Source organism: Homo sapiens, chromosome 9 (assembly GCF_000001405.40).
Source record: "Homo sapiens chromosome 9, GRCh38.p14 Primary Assembly".
NCBI classification, from domain to species: domain Eukaryota; kingdom Metazoa; phylum Chordata; class Mammalia; order Primates; family Hominidae; genus Homo; species Homo sapiens.
The window spans coordinates 129,867,101-129,886,174 of NC_000009.12; the positions used below are offsets into that span (position 1 = coordinate 129,867,101).

Genomic DNA, 19,074 nt, shown 5'->3' on the forward strand with positions numbered 1-19,074 from the left:
CTAACAACCAGGTCAGGGACTGCTGGGGCTGATTTGGGCTCGGAACCCAAGTCCTTCTCCAATGCCCAGCACCACCCGAGCACCCGCTAGCTGCTGGGGTCTGCTGCCACCACCACGTTCTGACCTCCCAGTGCACCCCCTGTGTGAGCACACAGATCTCAGTGGGGCTCACTGGGCGCCTCTGCCCGAGCCCCTGCTGCCTTGGCTTCCTGCTGTGCTGGTGGCCCAGTCACAGAGTGGTCAGGATAAAATGGTCATTGCTGGGATTTGAGACCCAGGCAGCCTGCAGGGGCAGCTTAGACTGAGTCATGACCAGGTCTGTGGGAAGGTGAGAGCAGGCAGTGAGGGTATGTGGGGGCTGGCACAGGGACTGAGGGAGCAGGGGGAGCCAGAGGAAGGGTAGAGCATGCAGGCAGTCTGGCCTGTGGGTAGCGTGGCTTGGGGCAGGACTCGGGTGAGTCCTCTTTTGGCATCACACTCCCTCATCCTTCCGCCACCCCCCTGCCCACCTCCACTGGTCTCATCTGTAGGGAGAAAGGTGGCTCGGGCTTAATGTGGTACTGCCTCTCTGTCCCTCCCGTGCTGAGCTTGCAGCAGAGGCAGGAGATTCAGAGCCGGAGCCGGGGAGTTGCATGGACCCAGGTGCATACCTGGCTCTGACACTTTCTAGCTGTGTGTCCTGGTAGGTGTCCTTTAGCCTCTCCAGTCCTCACTGTTATCCTCAGAAGAATGGGGTTAGGACAGACTGCCATGGGAGGCCGCTGTGGGGGTGAGCAACTCTTCTGCAGGGGGCGCCCATGAGGTCCTCCTAGATGGAGGCTGGCGCTCTCATCAGCCACAGGGCGCTGGAGACTGGTTCCTCCTGCCTCCAGGGGAGCCCTGTTGATGCAGCCCCTGGTTCTAGGACACCCAAGAGTTCCTTCGCTGCCTGATGGACCAGCTGCACGAGGAGCTCAAGGAGCCGGTGGTGGCCACGGTGGCGCTGACGGAGGCTCGGGACTCAGATTCGAGTGACACGGATGAGAAACGGGAGGGTGACCGGAGCCCATCAGAAGATGAGTTCTTGTCCTGTGACTCGAGCAGTGACCGGGGTGAGGGTGACGGGCAGGGGCGTGGCGGGGGCAGCTCGCAGGCCGAGACGGAGCTGCTGATCCCAGATGAGGCGGGCCGAGCCATCTCTGAGAAGGAGCGGATGAAGGACCGCAAGTTCTCCTGGGGCCAGCAGCGTACAAACTCGGAGCAAGTGGACGAGGACGCTGATGTGGACACTGCCATGGCTGCCCTTGACGACCAGCCCGCGGAGGCCCAGCCCCCGTCACCACGGTCCTCCAGCCCCTGCCGGACGCCAGGTATCAGCTGGCCGGGGACTGCGGGAGGAACCTCAGCCTATGGCCCAGTACCTACCGGGTGCTGAGCGCCGACCTGCAGTAGCCCCCGGGGGACGGGTTCTTCACTAGACCCGAATGACAGTGGGGAAGTCAGCCTCCGGGGGGGCTCAGTGATGTGCCCAGGGTCCCCTAGCTCATAATGCTGGAGCCCAATTCAGAGCCCTCTCCCAGAGCCCTGAGCCTTCCAGCCGGACATGGATTGGACAGGTCTGCTCCGGCCTGTGTGCTGGGGCCAGGAGTGGGCACATGACAGAGGAGACACATTAGGGTCAGGCTTTCGTCCCTTTAGGAGGGGCTGGCAGGTCATCTTCCTGCCCACTCGTGGAGCTGGCCTGGCTGCCCTGGCCCAGCATGGTACCCTCTCTGCCCCCAGAGCCGGACAATGATGCTCACCTACGCAGCTCCTCTCGCCCCTGCAGCCCCGTCCACCACCACGAGGGCCATGCCAAGCTGTCTAGCAGCCCCCCTCGTGCAAGCCCCGTGAGGATGGCACCGTCGTACGTGCTCAAGAAAGGTTCGGGGGGCACGGGAGGGTGGGTCAGCTTGAGGCTGGGAGTACAGATTACGCCCGTAGCTGCCTTTCTCATGGCCCCCTGTGGCGGAGGGCCGGGCTATGGGCTCCTCTCAGGTACACCCCTGAGACACCAGTGTGGGAGCCACGTTTTGCAGAGGATGACACAGAGGCATGAGATGGTGAATTGCTTACCCAGTCATGTGACTCACGGATGTCACTCCACATCCTGTCAAAGGAAGCCGCAGGGCCCGCACCTCGCCCCGGCCAGGCAGGTGGAGGCTGGGCTAGTCCTGTGCTGTGTCCCCAGCCCAGGTATTGAGTGCTGGCAGCCGGAGGCGGAAGGAGCAGCGCTACCGCAGCGTCATCTCAGACATCTTTGACGGCTCCATTCTCAGCCTTGTGCAGTGTCTCACCTGTGACCGGGTGGGTGCCCCAGGGATGGGGGGAGCTGGGCCAGGCTGCCAGTGGCCTCAGCAGCTCTTGCCCTGACTGGGTGCAGGGTGGGCTCTCCACGGGTGCTCCCTGCTTTTATCCAGGGGAGGGCCCTGCCTGCGTGGATCCCGTGTCTATGGCCTGGGGAGTAGTCCCTCTGCCCCTCACCTGCTGCTTGGGGTTTGGGGTGCAGACATTGCCAGAGGATGGGCAGCAGACTGACCTTCAACCCCACAGGTATCCACCACAGTGGAAACGTTCCAGGACTTATCACTGCCCATTCCTGGAAAGGAGGACCTGGCCAAGCTCCATTCAGCCATCTACCAGAATGTGCCGGCCAAGCCAGGCGCCTGTGGGGACAGCTATGCCGCCCAGGGCTGGCTGGCCTTCATTGTGGAGTACATCCGACGGTGCGCCCACCTTGCCACTACTGGGCGACATGGGCTGGGCCTGTCCTGGTTTTCCTGGGCGGGAGACAGTACACAGTGAAGTCCATGCATTTGGGGAACCAGGGAGGTCCTGGGAGGAGCTGGGGGCCGAAGCCTGCAGAGGAGTTGGCTTAATATGCAGGGGATTTCTTGGCTACTTTGAAGTGGCCAGGATTGGATAGTCCCTTGGAGCTGGAGGGCGATGGACAGCAGGGAGGTGACCACATGGCAGGTTGAAGGGAGGGCAGCAGCAGGACACAGGCCTGGTTGGCGGGAAGGGCAGCAGCTTTCCCAGGGCTGCCTCTCCTGCCTGAGGCCAGAGACCCGCATGACCCCAGGGAGGGGGTAGCATGATCATGGCCGCAACACAGATGAAGGAGGCCAGGCTTGCGGAGAGATGATGTCACTCGGCCCAGGACACGGACGTGTCTGGCTCCAGGCCTCTGCCCCGACCCGCCGTGCCCGGCTGCTTCTCTGGGCCTTCAGGGTCCTTCTGCGGCTCAGGCCTGACAGACCTCAGCCAGAGTCCCTTCAGCTCCTGTTCTTGCCCAGGCCCTGGCAGCACCCCTGCACTCCTTTTCTGTCTGTAGGTTTGTGGTATCCTGTACCCCCAGCTGGTTTTGGGGGCCTGTCGTCACCCTGGAAGACTGCCTTGCTGCCTTCTTTGCCGCTGATGAGTTAAAGGGTGAGGGGCCTGGCTGGCAAGGGTCGGGGAGGTGGAGGGTTGTGGGGACGGGGATGTGCAGACCCCAGCAGGCCAGCATGCAGCCCAGGGCTTGTGGGATGCACAGCCAGGCTAGACTTGGCTTCCAAGGTTGATCCCATCAGATACCCACGCCCACTGCCAGCCACGCTGGACCAGGGCCATGTGCTATCCCAACCCCATCATCTTGCAGCTCTTGAGTGTTCACTTATTTTTATTTTTACCAATTTGGTGGGCAAAAATGATGTATGTTAATTTTTCATTTCCTTGATTACTGATGAGTTTCTACATTTTTTGTTAAATATACTGGCTCTATGTATTTATTTAAACATTGCCCATTCCTGTTCTTGTTCTTTTTCTCCGTTGGCTATTTGGCATCTAAACCTTTGGGAAAACTCTCTCTTTTTTTTTTATTTCCAATTTTCAATTGCGATAAAATACACAAAATGTAAAATTTACCACCATAACCATTGTAAATGCTGTTTTTAACAGAAAGTGCACAGTCGAGTAGTGTTAAATACATGCACATGGTCACGCAGCCATCCTCCCCATTCATCTCCAGAACTTTTACATCTTGCAAACCTGAAACTCAGTATCCGTGAAACAGCTCCCTACTCCCACCTCCCAGCCCCTGGCAACCTCCACATTCAAGTCTGTGAATGTGACTACTCTAAAGGCCTCATAGAAGTGGAATTATACAGTACTTGCCATTTTGTGACTGACGGCTTTTACTGAGCATAACGTCCTTAGGGTTCATCCACGTTGCAGCGTGTGTGTCGGAATGCCCTGCCTTTTGTATGCTGGTTATTTATTGTTCCATTGTGTGGATGGCTGGGGCCTTTCTGCTTATTCGTTCATCCGTCAGTGGACACTCAGGCCGCTTCCCTGTTAGCTATTGTGAGGAATGCTGCTCTGACCATGGGTGTGCACACCTCTCTTCTTTCATCCCTTTGGGTCTATGCCTATTTTTAATTTCTCGAGGAGCCACCGTACTGGGTTCCACAGTGGCCACCCCATTTCACATTCCCACCAGTGACGCACAAGAGTTCCAGTTTCTCCACATCGTCGTCCACACTCATTTTGTTTACTTTTTTGATGGGAGTCAACCTCATGGGTATGAGGTGGTATCTCATTGTGCGTTTTTTTTGTTTTGTTTTGTTTTGTTTTTGAGACGGAGTCTCTCTCTTGACGCCCAGGCTGGAGTGCAATGGCATGATCTCGGCTTATTGCAACCTCCACCTCCTGGGTTTAAGCGATTCTCCTGCCTCAGCCTCCCGAGTAGCTGGGATTACAGGCACATGCCACCACGGCTGGCTAATTTTTGTATTTTTAGTAGAATGGGGTTTCACCATGTTGGCCAGGCTGGTCTTGAACTCCTGACCTCAGGTGATCCGCCTGCCTTGGTCTCCCAAAGTGCTGGGATTACCGGCGTGAGCCACCGCACCCAGCCTCGTTGTGGTTTTGATTTGCATTTCCTAATGATAGTGATGTTAAGTGTCTTTTCATATGCTTGTTGGCCATTTGTAAGTGTTTGGAAAAACATCTATGTGAGTCTTTTGCCTATTTTGTTTTTTGTTGCTTGTTATAGGGATTCTTTTTTTTCTTGAGACAGAGTCTCACTCTGTCACCCAGGCTGGAGTGCAATGGCATGATCTTGGCTCACTGCAGCCTCCGCCTCCTGGGTGCAAGCAGTCCTCCCATCTCAGCCTCCCGAGTAGCTGGGATTATAGGCACGTGCCACCACACCTGGCTAATTTTTGTATTGTTAGTAGAGATGGGGTTTTGCCATGTTGGCCAGGTTGGTCTCGAACTCCTGACCTCAAATGGATTTGCTGCCTTGGCCTCCCAAAGTGCTGGGATTACAGGTGTGAGCCACGGTGCCGGCCTCGTTAGTTAGAGGAGTTCTTTATGTGTCCAGATACGTGACTTATAACCCTGTCCTCCCATCCTGTAGGGTGCGTTTCATTCTGTGGTTTGTGTCTTTTGCTTTGGTTGCCTGCACCTTTGGTGTTGTGTTTCAGAGATCATCGCCAGATCCAATGTCATGAAACTTTTTTCCTACTTTTCTCCTAAAAGTTTTATAGTTTTAGGTCTTATATTGAGATCTTTGATCCCATTTTGACTTAATTTTCACAGTGTGCATGGAGGGGGAAACTATACATTAAGATTTTAAGCTGGTCATGGTGGCATGTACCTGTGACCCCAGCTACTCCGGAGGCTGAGGGTCCTCTGAGCCTAGGACTTTGGGACCAGCCTGGGCAACATAGCAAGACCCTATCTCAAAAAAATTGTTTCAAATACATTTTCTGTAATTAATGTTGCACTTCCCACCCCACCTCCATTTTGCCTTTTGCCTTTTAATTTTGCTTTTGGTGGTATCTTACAGATGTTGAAGTATTTCTGGGGTCAAATATAACCATTTCTCCCTTGTATGGATTCTGGCTGTGGGGCCCAGCCAGGGCCTTCCCTCCCTCCAGTACCTCTCAGGTTTTATTTCTTTTTCTTTTTCTTCTTCTTTTTTTTTTTTTTTTTTTGAGATGGAGTTTTACTCTGTCACCCAGGCTGGAGTGCAGTGGCATCAGCTCACTGCAGCCTCTGCCCCGAGCCCCCCAGGTTCGAGCGATTCTCCCACCTCAGCCTCCTGAGTAGCTGGGATTACAGGCACGCACCACCACGTCCAGCTAATTTTTGTATTTTTAGTAGAGATGGGGTTTCGCCATGTTGGCCAGGCTGGCCTCGAACTCCTGACCTCAGGGGATCCGCCCGCCTCGGCCTCCCAAAGTGCTAGGATTACACGCATGAGCCACCATGCCCAGCCAGGTTTTATTTCTTAAGCAGAAATCATTATAGTCACTTTTTTTTGCTCCCTCATTTTGCATCCTTGCTAACCTCTGACCCTTTGTTTTACTGCCCTAGGTGACAACATGTACAGCTGTGAGCGGTGTAAGAAGTAAGTGAGCCTTCCCCCGCCTTCTCCCTAACTGCCGTTTCTGTGCCCTACATATTCCCCTTGGGTTCCTGCAGAGAGCCCCCTATAATCCTGCCTTCCCAGAAGGGAGCCGGGTGGAGGGCTGCTTCCCTGGCCCCTGGCCCTGATGCCGGACACTGATGCTGGCTCGTGCTTCCTCCCCAGGCTGCGGAACGGAGTGAAGTACTGCAAAGTCCTGCGGTTGCCCGAGGTGAGCCAGTGGCCTCGGCAGCCTCCTCCTCAGCTATCTCGGGATGCACACCAGCACACACCAGGCAGGGGCTGAGCCTGCTCCACTGCTCGGGCACTTCTGTGCTGCAGGGGCCGTGGAGACTCCATAGCTTTGGCTGAGAAACCTCTGGGAAGGGTTGGCAGGGGGCACATTTTTCCAACTGTGACTTGGTGCCCTCTCTCGGTAGCCTCAGCACATGTTGTCTAACATGTTGTATGAGGGCCCAATGGGAGGCAGGTGTGTGGGACACTGGGTTACCACCCCCAGTGAGACAGCTATGGCTCCTGCCAGCTGCAGAGTGGCGGGAGGAGAGCTGGTCCAGCTGGGGCTGTTGCCAGGGGTCTTTCTGAGGAGTAACGTCTGAGTGGGGCCTGGAGGGTGTAGGCTGGTGTCAGCGTCGTGGATGGAAGGCACAGAAGGAACAGACAAAACCCCAGTGCAGGAGCAGGCTTGTCCGCACCAAGGAAGGCACGTGTGGCTGGAGCAAAGAGGAGAGGGCCCTGGCAGAGGGGGCCCAGGTTGGGGCTGTGGTGGCTCGGGGAGGCTTTGTGGCTTCTCAAAGGTAGTGCCGACAGAACTGGTAAACTTGATGGCTCATTGCAGCTCTTGGGGTCCAGTTCTCAGCAGTGGAGCTGGGAGTGATCTGTGTGACTTAGAGCGAGCCCAGTCTGGCCCCCACGTGGAACTCTTGGATTTGTTCCAATGGAGTCAGCTTGCATGATCCCATCAGCTGTCCTGGGCCCGTGGGCAAGGCTGCGAGGGCCCGCATCATTTCTTCCTAGATGACCGGCGCTCTCTCTGTCCCCGCAGATCCTGTGCATTCACCTAAAGCGCTTTCGGCACGAGGTGATGTACTCATTCAAGATCAACAGCCACGTCTCCTTCCCCCTCGAGGGGCTCGACCTGCGCCCCTTCCTTGCCAAGGAGTGCACATCCCAGATCACCACCTACGACCTCCTCTCGGTCATCTGCCACCACGGCACGGCAGGCAGTGAGTCATGTCCCCTCCCCTGCCGTCCCCATCCGCTAGGATCCCTGTGACCCGTCTGCTCTGCCGCCGCAGGTGGGCACTACATCGCCTACTGCCAGAACGTGATCAATGGGCAGTGGTACGAGTTTGATGACCAGTACGTCACAGAAGTCCACGAGACGGTGGTGCAGAACGCCGAGGGCTACGTACTCTTCTACAGGTGGGCGCTGGGCCAGGCCTGGTGGAGGAACCTCACCATCCCCGTCCCCTGGGACCCATGGGCCTTCTGGGTGTGTGTAGGGGACAGCGCCTGGATTAAGCCAGGGAAGTAAGGACTTGGATTGTTAAGAAACAGCCCTCTGGCTGCTGTGGGGAACCCAGGAAGGCAGCTTGGAGCCTTCTCCAGGGCCCTGGCTGGCGGCACAGGGGGCTGCTCACATGTCCAGGACCCGTGAAGGACCCAGGAGGTGGTGGACAGGGCCGGTAGCCCGAGGTGCACTGGGATGGGGGCTCTGCATGTGTCTGAAGGTGGCAGCCGTCAGGCACAGCTTCTCGCCCCCTCCTCACCCCACAGGAAGAGCAGCGAGGAGGCCATGCGGGAGCGACAGCAGGTGGTGTCCCTGGCCGCCATGCGGGAGCCCAGCCTGCTGCGGTTCTACGTGTCCCGCGAGTGGCTCAACAAGTTCAACACCTTCGCGGAGCCAGGCCCCATCACCAACCAGACCTTCCTCTGCTCCCACGGAGGTGAGGCGCCCCCTGTGGTGGGAGAGCAGGGTGGGCAGCTGGGCCGAGCCACAGCTTCGCTCCCTGTACCTTCTTCCCAGGCATCCCGCCCCACAAATACCACTACATCGACGACCTGGTGGTCATCCTGCCCCAGAACGTCTGGGAGCACCTGTACAACAGGTGAGAGCCTGGGAGGCCAACTTGTCTCCGTCCTGTCCAGGGCCCAGCTGGGCAGGAAAAGAGGGGAGGGCAGGGAAGGAATGCCACCAGGACCCCACACCACACTCTGGCCTCCACGTGGGCAGCACAGAGCCGCCTTCACTTGTCTCATGGAGAATGACACATGTCGTTTGTGGGAATCCGCTTGGATCCTTCCAGCGGCAAGGGACAGGAAACTGGCTGAAGCACAGCTGAGTGTGTTGGCCATCTGCTGAAGCACAGCTGAGTGTGTTGGCCATCTGCTCTTCAGCCTTGAAGCAGGACCTCCCTTGGGCTGTGGGCGCGCTGCTCCGTTGCAGGCTCTGTGGTGCTCACACAGAGGTGCATGCAGGCCTGCGACAGCGCTGAGGGGGCACTGATGGCTTGAGGGGGAAGTGGAAGGCAGTGATCACTCTCCCCTCCCTGGTACCCCGCTCAGGCCGTGTCTCTCTCTCCCACCCTGGGCACAGATTCGGGGGTGGCCCCGCCGTGAACCACCTGTACGTGTGCTCCATCTGCCAGGTGGAGATCGAGGCACTGGCCAAGCGCAGGAGGATCGAGATCGACACCTTCATCAAGGTGCGTGCGGCGAGGCGGCGCGGGGGCGGCTCTGCCAGCCTCTGCCTGGGGCAGCTGGGGACTTGGGGACAGAAGAATCCTGTGCAGTCCCTGAGCAAGTTTGAAAGCAGTCTTTTGAGGCTGGGCATGGTGGCTCACACCTGTAATCCCAGCACTTTGGGAGGCTGAGACGAACAGATCACTTGAGGTCAGGAGTTTGAAACCAGCCTGGCCAACATGGCAAAACCCCGTCTCTACTAAAAATACAAAAATTAGCTGGGCTTGGTGGCAGGTGCCTGTAATCCCAGCTACTTGGGAGGCTGAGGCAGGATAATCGCTTGAACCTGGGAGGCGGAGGTTTCAGTGAGCTGAGATTGTGCCACTGCGCTCCAGCCTGGGCAACCGAGTAAGACTCCATCTCAAAAAAAAAAAAAAAAGAAAAAGAAAAGAAAGGAGTCTTCTGCGGGGAACTAGATGGCCAGGTGTCTAGGAGGGCTTTTCCTGGTGGGAGGGTTGGCTTGAGTAAGTGAAGCCTCATCGCCCGGGTGCTGTTGAGCTTAAAGAACCAGTAGATGGATCCCATTCTCAGCCTTGGCTGTGTTATTTTGGGCTGAATTATTCTTTATTGTGGGGCCGTCCTGTGCATTGTAGGATGTTTAGCAGCATTCTTGGCCTCTACCCACTAGTGCTAGTGACAACCAAAATGACCTCCAGAGATTGCCCAGGGTCCCCTGGGGTGCAGAGTACCCTCCCTGCCCTGGGTGAGAACCACTGGGCTCTACAGACTGCCCAAGATAAAGCAGGAAGTGAAAACCAAGGTGCAAACCAGGACTCAAGTGTGACTGTGTTTAGAAGAGGGACTTCTGTGAGGGAGCTGAGTGCAGGCGAGGCTCCTGGCGCACTCCCTCCCTGCCACGCTACTTCTAACAGGGTTAGGACGTGTTCCACTCACAGGGAGGGCCTGGTGAGAGACACTGAGGGACGCCCGTGCTTTGTGGCCATTAGGAAATGATTCTGCTGCCTGGGCATGGTGGCTCACGCCTGTGATCCCAGCACTTTGGGAGGCCGAGGCAGGTGGATCACTTGAGCCCAGGAGTTCAAGACCAACTTGGCCAACATGGCGAAACCCCATCTCTACAAACAATACAAAAATTAGCCAGGCATGGTGATGTGTACCTGTAGTCCCCGCTACCTGGAGGGCTGAGTGAGTTGGGAGGATCACCTAAGCCTGGGAGGTTGAGGCTGCAGTGAGCCGTGATCATGCCACTGCACCGCAGCCTGGGCAATAGAGTGAGACCCTGTCTCAGAACACAAACGAAAAAGAGACTGTCAGGGCTGGGCCTAGTGGTATGCACCTGTGGTCCAACCTACTCAGGAGGCTGAGGTGGGAGGATCACTTGAGCCCAGGAGGTCAAGGCTGCAGTGAGCCATGATTGCGCCGCTGCACTCCCGCCTGGGCACAGAGTGAGACCACCCCCCATCTCGAAAAAGAAAATGCTCCTGTCAGAAGGAGAGCTGCCTCTCTGAGCAGATAGGCACATTCTATTCAACCGGAGAAAATTAGCATCTCCCAGGCCGGGCGCAGTGGTTCATGCCTGTTATCCCAGCACTTTTGAGAGGTCGAGGTGGGCGGATCACCTGAGGTCAGGAGTTCAAGACCAGCCTGGCCAACATGGCGAAACCCCGTCTCTACTAAAAACACAAAAAGTAGCCAGGTGGTGGCACACACCTGTAATCCCAGCTACTCAAGAGGCTGAGGTGGGAGAATCGCTTGAACCTGGGAGGCAGAGGTTGCAGTAAGCCGAGATCGCGCCACTGCACTCCAGCCTGGGTGACAGAGTGAGATTCCTTCTCAAAAAGTAGAATCTCCCTTGTGGTCTCAGTTGGGTCAAACAGTTATTGAAGAGACCCACAAAATGTTACCACCGTCCTCTCTGAGTGATGGGTGTGTTCATTTTGTTTGAGCTTGTCTGGGGGTTTGATTTTTCACCTTGAGTATCTGGTGTTTTTGTAAGACTCTTGGGTGAGGGACTGGGGCGGGGGCATTTGGGAAATCCTTGCTGAAGGTAAATAGAGACTGACCTGCCCTCTGTCTCCTCCCGTCCCTGCCCGCCTGCCAGTTGAACAAGGCCTTCCAGGCCGAGGAGTCGCCGGGCGTCATCTACTGCATCAGCATGCAGTGGTTCCGGGAGTGGGAGGCGTTCGTCAAGGGGAAGGACAACGGTGAGCTGAGGGGGGACCTGGCACTTACCTGCCCTGGGGGCCTCCTGGGAGATGGGATGCTGGCAGGGGAGGGCTGGCACACAGGGGCTCCTGCAGGCCCCATGCCTGCCCCCAGGTGCCACCCATCCAGGGTGAACAGAGAGCATGGGGCTTTGCCAGTCCCCAGTGGGGATCACTGTCCCCACCCAGAGGCAGGAAGCTGCTCCTGCTCTGCGCCCCCTGCCCTTCTCCACTCCCTGCCATGCCCAGCAAGCTGCTCTGCCCTCCTGCAAGGCCCTTTCCTCAGGGGAGTGTGTCGCCCGAAATGACAGATTTGTCATCTGACTCCTTGGATTTACAGAGGTGGAGACAGGCCCCATCACAAGCTCCCAGGGTCCCCCAAGTCCCCAGTGAAGAACAGCAGAACCAAGCCATGGAAGCCCACAGGCTCTAAACTATTAAACCTGCATTAAAAATTTCGGCTGGGGCGCCCTCGGGGCATAATCTAACCTGTGGCTCCGGGGCCCGGCAGGGTGGGTAGAGCCCACGGTTCTGCTCACGGGACCCTTGGTGTGGAGCATGAGCACCCACCTGTGCTTGGGAAGGGAGGCCTCATTGCCATCCCGCTAGTCGGGGAAGGTGCCAGGGCCACCGTGAGGCCTCTCTGGTGGTGGCTGAGGCCTTCAGCATGGCTGTGGTTGAGAATGTAGCTCCGGAGCCCTCGCCCTGGCCTGGACGCTGGCCTTGCCTTCTACCAGCTATGACCTGAGTGGTTACTTCACCTTCCCAGGCCTCGGCTCTGTCTCTGTAAACCTCTGTCTTGTCCTGTGGTTGCCGAGGCTAAATGAGATAGCTGGGCAGAGGGGAAGGGGCGTGGTGAGCGGCAGCTGCCAGCAGAGATAAGGGCATGGGCCATCCACCGCAGCTCCTGCGGCCAGCACAGAGTCTGAGACCATCTCGTGTGTCCTGGAAATTCCCTCTGCTGGGTCCTCAGACTGCCACAGAGGAGCATTGGGTGGCTCAGGCGCCTCATCCATTAGAGACTTCACGCTGACCCCCAGGCCTGGGGCGGCCCCACTTGGGATGGCTCTGCTGCTGTGGAGGGTGGAGGGCATGGCAGGGGCTGAACCCGAGCCCGCTGTGTCTGTTGCAGAGCCCCCCGGGCCCATTGACAACAGCAGGATTGCACAGGTCAAAGGAAGCGGCCATGTCCAGCTGAAGCAGGGTGAGTTCCCCCTGGGGTCAGCCAGGCTCCTCTCTGCCCTTCCTGGCTGCCAGGCTGCTGCCCAGTCCCGTCCTTCCAGGAGCCCCCTTACCACCTGTCTTAGAGTCAGGCTGAGACGTCCACCTGAGTCCAGACCCAGGCGGCTGAGAGATGGCCCAAGGGGCTTGGTCTCTGCTTGTGTCCTCCAGGTCCCACCCCTCTGCCTGCTGCTGGCCTTGCCCACCCTGCTGTTTATGTCAGCCCCACCCCCAGGAACAAGGGACACAGCCAGAGATGTGTTATCCGGGGCCCTTAGCGGGATGGACATTCCTCTGGGAAATCCTGATTTCCATCTGACAGCTTTGCATAGAAGCCCTGGTTGCCGTCTTCCCGCTTCGGGGCCTGGCCCTGCGGAGCCCCCACTGCCCAGGCCGGTGGCTTCCTTGAGGAGGCAAAGGTGAGCCTAGGGGTGCCTCTCGTGCCCTGCAGGAGCTGACTACGGGCAGATTTCGGAGGAGACCTGGACCTACCTGAACAGCCTGTATGGAGGTGGCCCCGAGATTGCCATCCGCCAGAGTGTGGCGCAGCCGCTGGGCCCAGAGAACCTGCACGGGGAGCAGAAGATCGAAGCCGAGACGCGGGCCGTGTGATCTGCTGGGCTAGTCTGTAAGTCGCCCCGGCTGGTCCCTCCATGGCACTCTGGGTCCTCTCCTCACTCTCCAGAGACCCTCACATGTCCTTTTGAACATCCAAAGAGCAGGTCCCTGAAAGCACCTTCCTGGAGGATGTGGGAGGGCCCTGGACATGGCCCGGCCCCACTGCTGAGTGCCCGTGTCCCCACAGCCCCATGTGCCCCACCCCGCGGAAGGCGTGTTTGTGCCCAGAAGAGAGGCCGGGCTGCTGCAGAACCCCGCCGTGTAAAGAGGCAGAAAAGTTGGTTTGGTTTGCAGTAACGCTGCAACTAGAAAATATATGCACTTCAGGCTTGTTGAAACGACCAAGACTCTGTGACGTTAATTTGGGTCTTTGTCCTGGCAGTGCCTCTGCCAGTCACTGTCATCGTTGTGTCCCCCACAACTGTCCTCTTGCTAGCTCGGCCCAGCTTTGTCCCTGGAGCCCGATGCTACCCCTGTCAGACAGAGGCTGCGGCCTGGGCCAGAGTCAGGGAGTAGCTGCTGCTTCACGGCGTCTCCACTGTGCGATTGGCCCGGAGCCCCGAAGACTCGGAGGGAGCTGCTCAGGGCCGGTGAGCGCAGCCAGAAGCCCTGGCCAGTGAGGAGCTCACAGGTCCTCCCTGGTGGTCCCGCCGCACCTCTGCATCTCCTGGGCGTCACCAGGAAGGCTCTGAAGTCCCGGGCTGCTCTCAGCACTTCTCCTGCAGACTGAAGACTCTGGACTCATTGCTGATTGGAACACCAGGAGGAGGTTGGATTTCTGCCAGTGGGGGATGTTTCTGGAGGCAGCTGGTCCCCCACACCGCGTCCTGCTGAGCCTGCCCCCTGGATTGGCTGTAATTTGCCTCGAAGTTCAGCAGTTCATCTTCATGGGAAATTTGCTGAGCCCCCACCAGGGAACCGGATGATGAAACAGGGATACCTCACAGCTTGGCCATTTGAGGCAAAGGCAGCTTCCCGAGCTGATGCTAAAGAAGACAGACTTTCCCTTCCTCCCAGCAGCAGCAGTGCAGAGCCCACCTGGAGGGATGTGGGGGCTGTGCAGGGTGCAGCGCTCAGGTGGATCCTGGGAAGCAGCCTCTGGATGCTGAGTGGAGGGAGCCACTGAGCACAGCAAGGCACCAAAGCCCCTGGAGAAACCGCCAGGGCGAGGTGCGACCATCATCAGGATCAAAGCAGACGGGGCGTGGGTGGGGAAGGGGCTCTGGGACCAGACCCCCCACACTACTGCGTCTTTGTTTCTATCAGTCTTTGTAGAAGCAGGTGGTGGTGGAAATTCCAGCAGGTGGGTCCCGCAGAGGCCCTGAGGCCTCACTTTTCGGATCTTCTGTCCCAGATCCTGCTCCCTCCCTGCTGAGCCTGGGGTTCCCCTGGCATTGGCCCCAGCCTTCTGAAAGCCGGCGCTGCAGCCAGAGGCCGCACGCTGCACTGTCGCGACGCAGAGAGGCTTCTGTGCAGGCTGGGATCGGGCCCCATGTCTGTGCTGTCTAGTTTGTGTTCAAAATGTCAGAATAAACACAGAATAAATGTTCCCACGGCCACACAGTCGTCTCTCCTTCACTGCAGTTCTGTTACTGGAGGGAAGGTGAGGCTCTCCGCCACGCGGACAGCCCGCCAAGCCCTGGGGCTCACATTGCACATCACCAGGCCCAGGAGGGGGCTTTCCATGTGGCTTTCTGAAACCAGAGACCACCTGGAGGCTGTGGAGGTGAGCAGAAGAGGGGACCCAGCTGCTATAAAGGCCTATTGGCATCTCCTTTCCTGGAATCAGCCCCAGCCTCAGAGAAGTAGGGCCAGATGTGGCCAGTGATTGAGGCCAGCACATCCCACAGGCTAGTCTCCCTCCAGCCACCCAGACAGGCGGCTCCAGAGTGGCCGTGAGCAGGGGGTTACCTCCCCTTTGCACACTGGCCCTGGGCGTTCAGCAATACTGGTGTTCAGTAGTCTGAGTTTTTTGTTGGGTCTCATTTTGGGGGAGAGAAGAACTTGAGATTTTTATATATAACTTATCAACATTTATTTGTGAAATCCCATTGTTGCAGGAAAAAGGGGTTCCGATCCAGACCCCTAGAGAAGGTTCTTGGATCTCATGCAGGAAGAAACTCAAGGTGAGTCGCAGAGTTCACTGAGAAGAGTTTACTGAAAGCTGCTCAGGTACAGAGTAGAGCGTCCTCAGAAAGCAAGTGGAGGGATGCCCGTCGCTGTTTTCAACTCCTCTTATGTAGGGGTCTTAGCTATAGAAAAGCTACGCTGTGTCTGTCAGGTGGGCTGACAGCCTGACACAGTGGATTGCTCTGTTGATTTAAAGAAAGCCATCCTTGGCATCTTAGTGCATAAGCACATCGAAGCCTCACTGTGGTCATCTTCAAGCATACACTGTTGTGTGGCATCTGAACCTTCTCCATCGTAGGAGTTTGTCCTCGCAGGCGTTACGTAGCTGCTTCCTCAGACGTAAACATCTTAGGTTGTGACTGGCCTGGACTGTGCCTAATTTTTTGTTTTTTGAGATGGAGTCTCGCTATGTTGCTCAGGCTGGGGTGCAGTGGCACGATCTCGGCTCACAGCAACCTCTGCCTCCCAGGTTCAAGCGATTCTCCTGCCTCAGCCTCCCAAGTAGCTGGGATTACAAGCATGTGTCACCACATCTGGATAAGTTTTGTATTTTTAGGAGAGACAAGGTTTCACCATGTTAGCCAGGCTGGTCTCGAACTCCTGACCTCAAGCGATCTGCCTACCTCGGCCTCTCAAAGTGCTGGGATTACAGGTGTGAGCCACCGGGCCCAGCCTCCCTTGCTAGTTTTAGGTGGAGCCGAACTCAAAATGATGTCACCCTGGCTCCCCTAGGCTTCTGCTTCCCTGCCGCTATCAGATACGAGCGTACAGAAACATTTCAGCGTATGCAAGGATAACACGGTGACAAGGAACCAAGATGACACATTGCCAGTTCCATGGAAAGCCTGGGGCCCCTCCGGAGTCGGCCACCTTGCCTGACCCCAGAGGTGGCTCTTTGCATGTGGTTCCCTCATCCCGCCTTTTTTTTTTTTTTTTTTCCTGAAAAAAGCTTCATTTTATTATTATTTTTTGAGACAGAGTCTCACTCTGTTGCCCAGGCTGGAGTGCAGTGGTATAATCTCAACTCACTGCAACCTCTGCCTCCTGGGGTTCAAGCAATTCTCCTGCCTCAGCCTCTGGAGTAGCTGGGTCTACAGGCATGTGCCACGACGCCTGGCTAATTTTATTTTTTATTTTATTTATTTTTAGTAGAGACGGGGTTTCACGGTGTTAGCTAGGATGGTCTCGATCTCATGACCTTGTGATCTGCCTGCCTCAGCCTCCCAAAGTGCTGGGATTACAGGCATGAGCCACCACACCCGGCCAAAACATCATTTTAAAATTGAGCTTTCTGACTGTGCTCCTGCCCTTAACACCTTCCCAGCAACTTTCTGCTCCTTGATGAGGAAGGCACACTTGATCCTGTCGGGAACACGTTCACACAGAAGCACCAGATGCACTGCTGATGGGTTTTTTGTTTGTAGACAGGGTCTCACTGTGTTGCCCAGGCTGGCCTCGAACTCCTAGGCTCAAGTGATCCTTCTGCCTCAGCCTCCCAAAGTGCTGGGATTACAGGCGTGAGCCACCACGCCTGGCCGCTTGCTGACATGTTTTTGCTTTGGGGCAGTCTCATAGGAGCTTTAGGTCTCACAGCACAAACCCCTCGGAGTCAGCCCAGGCCCATGCCATGTGCAGACTTTGGCAGTTTCCCAATCTTGGTATAAAGGTAAACGATTCTCTTCCCAGGGGTTCGGGCCGGCCTAGTGCTGTTAGAGGCTGTATTCTAGGAAAGCCTATGACGGTTTGGGAAACTGGGCCATGCTGAGTGCCTGTAGACAGCGTTCCCGGAAGAGGAAAAAGCAACCTTTGTCTTTATGTGGGAATCTCTAAGCAATATTTTTGGCTTTGTTTACATTTGAAGGTTAGATATGTGTCAATCCACGTGATTGACATTGAACATGGAAAATGAGAATGAAAGTTTTGTCTGGAAGATTTATTTAGGAGGTTTGGAGACAGTTCTTGCACTACAGAAAGGTGGGCTGGAAATAGGTACCAATTTGCCTTAAAACGTTTCTTTTAAAATACCTGGCTTTTAAGGAGTTCAGACTGAGATGCCAAGATCTGAAGTCTGTGCTTGATTACTGAGCAGGGACAGGAAGTGCTCGGTGACTGGGGAGGCGGGGCTCAGGCCTCGCTCCCCACGGTGCCCCACGGTGGCTCCTCCTCCGCGCTAAGCCAGGGCGTGGCTTCAGCAGCGCTTCTTAGAGGAGCCGGAAAGGCGCCCCTGCACCGTGGGGGAGGCTGCAGGAGACCTGCCGCCTGCCTGTGGTTCTGTCGGCCATGGCGCTGCTCACAAACCTGCATCCGAATACATTTGCAAGGCGCAGCCACCCAAAAAGTGTAGTTCCTACCTTTGTTCTGTTTTAAATTCAGTGCAAACATAAATTATCCTGAGGGTCTTAATGCTACCTAATTTTGAGCCCCAGAGAGCCTTGGGGGAAGTGAGCAGAGGTTTCGGAATCACAGCCCCCTCTGGCTCGTCCCTTCTGCAACTTCACCTACACAGAGAGACACCTGCTACCTGGACGGAGCAAGGGTGAGCTGGGCGCAGAAGAAACACACGCCTTTGGGGAAAGCTAGGAGCAGTAGACAGCCTAGGCAATGTATGTTCTGGAAGGGTGTCCCAGGGTTTCTCAGGGTGCAGCCTCCATTCCTTCCTTCGATTTGACCCGGGACCAGCCTAGATGAGGGGGCCTGTGGAGAGCTGGAACTGGAAACAGGTTCTCAAGGGCAGGGCTCGGCACAGCGTGGCAGCCAGGGGCTGTGCGGACTGAAGGGATGCGGCCCTGTCCTAGGCTGAGACGTCCGTCCAGCAGGTGCCGCAGGGAGGAAGGGAGCCTTCCCCATCCCCGACGGGGACAGTGGGTCCGTGTTTCCTCCCACAGCTTTCGGCCCCTTAGCTCTGAGGACAAGGATAGGGTCCTTCCTCTGCTTCTTCTGTACCTTTTGTGGTCCGGAGATGTCCCCGGCGGAGGTCACTATACCATCTGGAGGTCTAACGGGAGGCAGGAGTGCTCAAGTCAAGGCCGAATGGGCACTCAGTGGGACCCTGGAGAAGCAGCTGACACACCAAGGGGCTGCCACGTGCCTGCTGGCAGCCTTCACACGCTCATCCCGGGTCTCAGAGGGCGCTGGCAACACAGATCCCTGCCTCCCCTATCGGGAAAGCGTTTTAGGACCAGGGAAAAGGAGGCCTCCCCCAGGCGAGTGCGCAGAGCCAGGGAACCCGTCTGGATGGTGGCTCTTTCCCACCATCCTTCTCTGGCAGCAGCAGTTCAAAGTGGAGCTTCCAGGCTGTCCCATACATTTCACGATTTCTGAGTCTTTCGCTTCAATTTAAAAAAAGCTGGGGGCACGACCGAATCCTGCCTCTGTCCACCGCCATCTCGTTCCTCATCGCAGGGGGCCCTTCTTGCTCCCTCCACTGCTGCGCTCTGCCGTCTGCTCCCGCCAGGGGTCCCCACCACCTCTGCGGACGGAGGAGCCGCCTCCCAGGCCCGGGCGTGCCCAGGGCGGGTGGAGGGCGTGGGGCGGGCCGGTATTTCCTGACCCGCTGGAGGAGCCGGCCCCACAGGCTTGTGGCCTCCCCGGAGCCGGTGAGTCAGGAACTTCCTACTTCAAGAGGCTTCCCCAGTGCAGCAGAAAACAAACTAGTCGCCCCCAATGCTCCCGACCTCTGTGATGTCCACACCCGCGGAAATGGGGGCCCCAAACCAGCAGGCTCTGTTCTAGGCTTCTCAGCGCTGGTGCGGCTCTTGGAGAAGG

General features: G+C 57.0%; 1 protein-coding gene and 1 non-coding gene across 4 annotated transcripts in view, besides 8 other annotated features; both read left to right on the forward strand.

Annotated features, from left to right (window-relative positions):
* USP20 (ubiquitin specific peptidase 20) overlaps positions 1-14,728 on the forward strand; it is a 46,371-nt gene extending 31,643 nt beyond the window's left edge. For 2 of the 3 annotated variants that reach the window (NM_001008563.5, NM_001110303.4), the window contains exons 11-26: positions 905-1,349; positions 1,762-1,902; positions 2,210-2,325; positions 2,572-2,744; positions 3,353-3,447; positions 6,382-6,415; positions 6,599-6,644; positions 7,476-7,656; positions 7,729-7,855; positions 8,210-8,379; positions 8,460-8,541; positions 9,030-9,138; positions 11,238-11,340; positions 12,473-12,544; positions 13,013-13,189; positions 13,367-14,728. In NM_001008563.5, coding sequence (NP_001008563.2) covers positions 905-1,349; positions 1,762-1,902; positions 2,210-2,325; positions 2,572-2,744; positions 3,353-3,447; positions 6,382-6,415; positions 6,599-6,644; positions 7,476-7,656; positions 7,729-7,855; positions 8,210-8,379; positions 8,460-8,541; positions 9,030-9,138; positions 11,238-11,340; positions 12,473-12,544; positions 13,013-13,173 — 2,055 coding nt within the window. In that variant the 3' untranslated portion in view covers positions 13,174-13,189; positions 13,367-14,728. Of the gene's footprint in view, positions 1-904; positions 1,350-1,761; positions 1,903-2,209; positions 2,326-2,571; positions 2,745-3,352; positions 3,448-6,381; positions 6,416-6,598; positions 6,645-7,475; positions 7,657-7,728; positions 7,856-8,209; positions 8,380-8,459; positions 8,542-9,029; positions 9,139-11,237; positions 11,341-12,472; positions 12,545-13,012 lie in introns of all 3 variants that reach the window. The other variant, NM_006676.8, reaches the window with a different exon arrangement.
* On the forward strand, positions 2,505-2,571 carry MIR6855 (microRNA 6855). Its single transcript, NR_106914.1, has one exon. It is a non-coding gene; the product is annotated as a microRNA 6855 (primary transcript).
* Positions 3,120-3,619: an enhancer, noted in NCBI's record as "H3K4me1 hESC enhancer chr9:132632499-132632998 (GRCh37/hg19 assembly coordinates)". NCBI's record gives its function as "activates a minimal SCP1, AML or CMV promoter by ChIP-STARR-seq in primed H9 embryonic stem cells {active_cell/tissue: H9 hESC(primed)}" and the evidence as "EXISTENCE:reporter gene assay evidence [ECO:0000049][PMID:30033119]".
* Positions 7,265-7,765: an enhancer, noted in NCBI's record as "H3K27ac hESC enhancer chr9:132636644-132637144 (GRCh37/hg19 assembly coordinates)". NCBI's record gives its function as "activates a minimal SCP1, AML or CMV promoter by ChIP-STARR-seq in primed H9 embryonic stem cells {active_cell/tissue: H9 hESC(primed)}" and the evidence as "EXISTENCE:reporter gene assay evidence [ECO:0000049][PMID:30033119]".
* Positions 17,310-17,604: an enhancer, noted in NCBI's record as "tiled region #12063; K562 Activating DNase matched - State 5:Enh, and HepG2 Activating DNase unmatched - State 1:Tss". NCBI's record gives its function as "activates a minimal TATA promoter and a strong SV40 promoter by Sharpr-MPRA in K562 cells, with weak activation in HepG2 cells {active_cell/tissue: HepG2 | K562}" and the evidence as "EXISTENCE:reporter gene assay evidence [ECO:0000049][PMID:27701403]".
* Positions 17,596-17,905: an enhancer, noted in NCBI's record as "active region_29124". NCBI's record gives its function as "activates an Ori minimal core promoter by ATAC-STARR-seq in GM12878 lymphoblastoid cells {active_cell/tissue: GM12878}" and the evidence as "EXISTENCE:reporter gene assay evidence [ECO:0000049][PMID:35858748]".
* Positions 17,596-18,385: a biological region, named in NCBI's record as "H3K27ac-H3K4me1 hESC enhancer GRCh37_chr9:132647083-132647764".
* Positions 17,704-18,385: an enhancer, noted in NCBI's record as "H3K27ac-H3K4me1 hESC enhancer chr9:132647083-132647764 (GRCh37/hg19 assembly coordinates)". NCBI's record gives its function as "activates a minimal SCP1, AML or CMV promoter by ChIP-STARR-seq in naive H9 embryonic stem cells {active_cell/tissue: H9 hESC(naive)}" and the evidence as "EXISTENCE:reporter gene assay evidence [ECO:0000049][PMID:30033119]".
* Positions 18,436-18,485: an enhancer, noted in NCBI's record as "active region_29125". NCBI's record gives its function as "activates an Ori minimal core promoter by ATAC-STARR-seq in GM12878 lymphoblastoid cells {active_cell/tissue: GM12878}" and the evidence as "EXISTENCE:reporter gene assay evidence [ECO:0000049][PMID:35858748]".
* Positions 18,676-18,925: a silencer, noted in NCBI's record as "silent region_20393". NCBI's record gives its function as "represses an Ori minimal core promoter by ATAC-STARR-seq in GM12878 lymphoblastoid cells {active_cell/tissue: GM12878}" and the evidence as "EXISTENCE:reporter gene assay evidence [ECO:0000049][PMID:35858748]".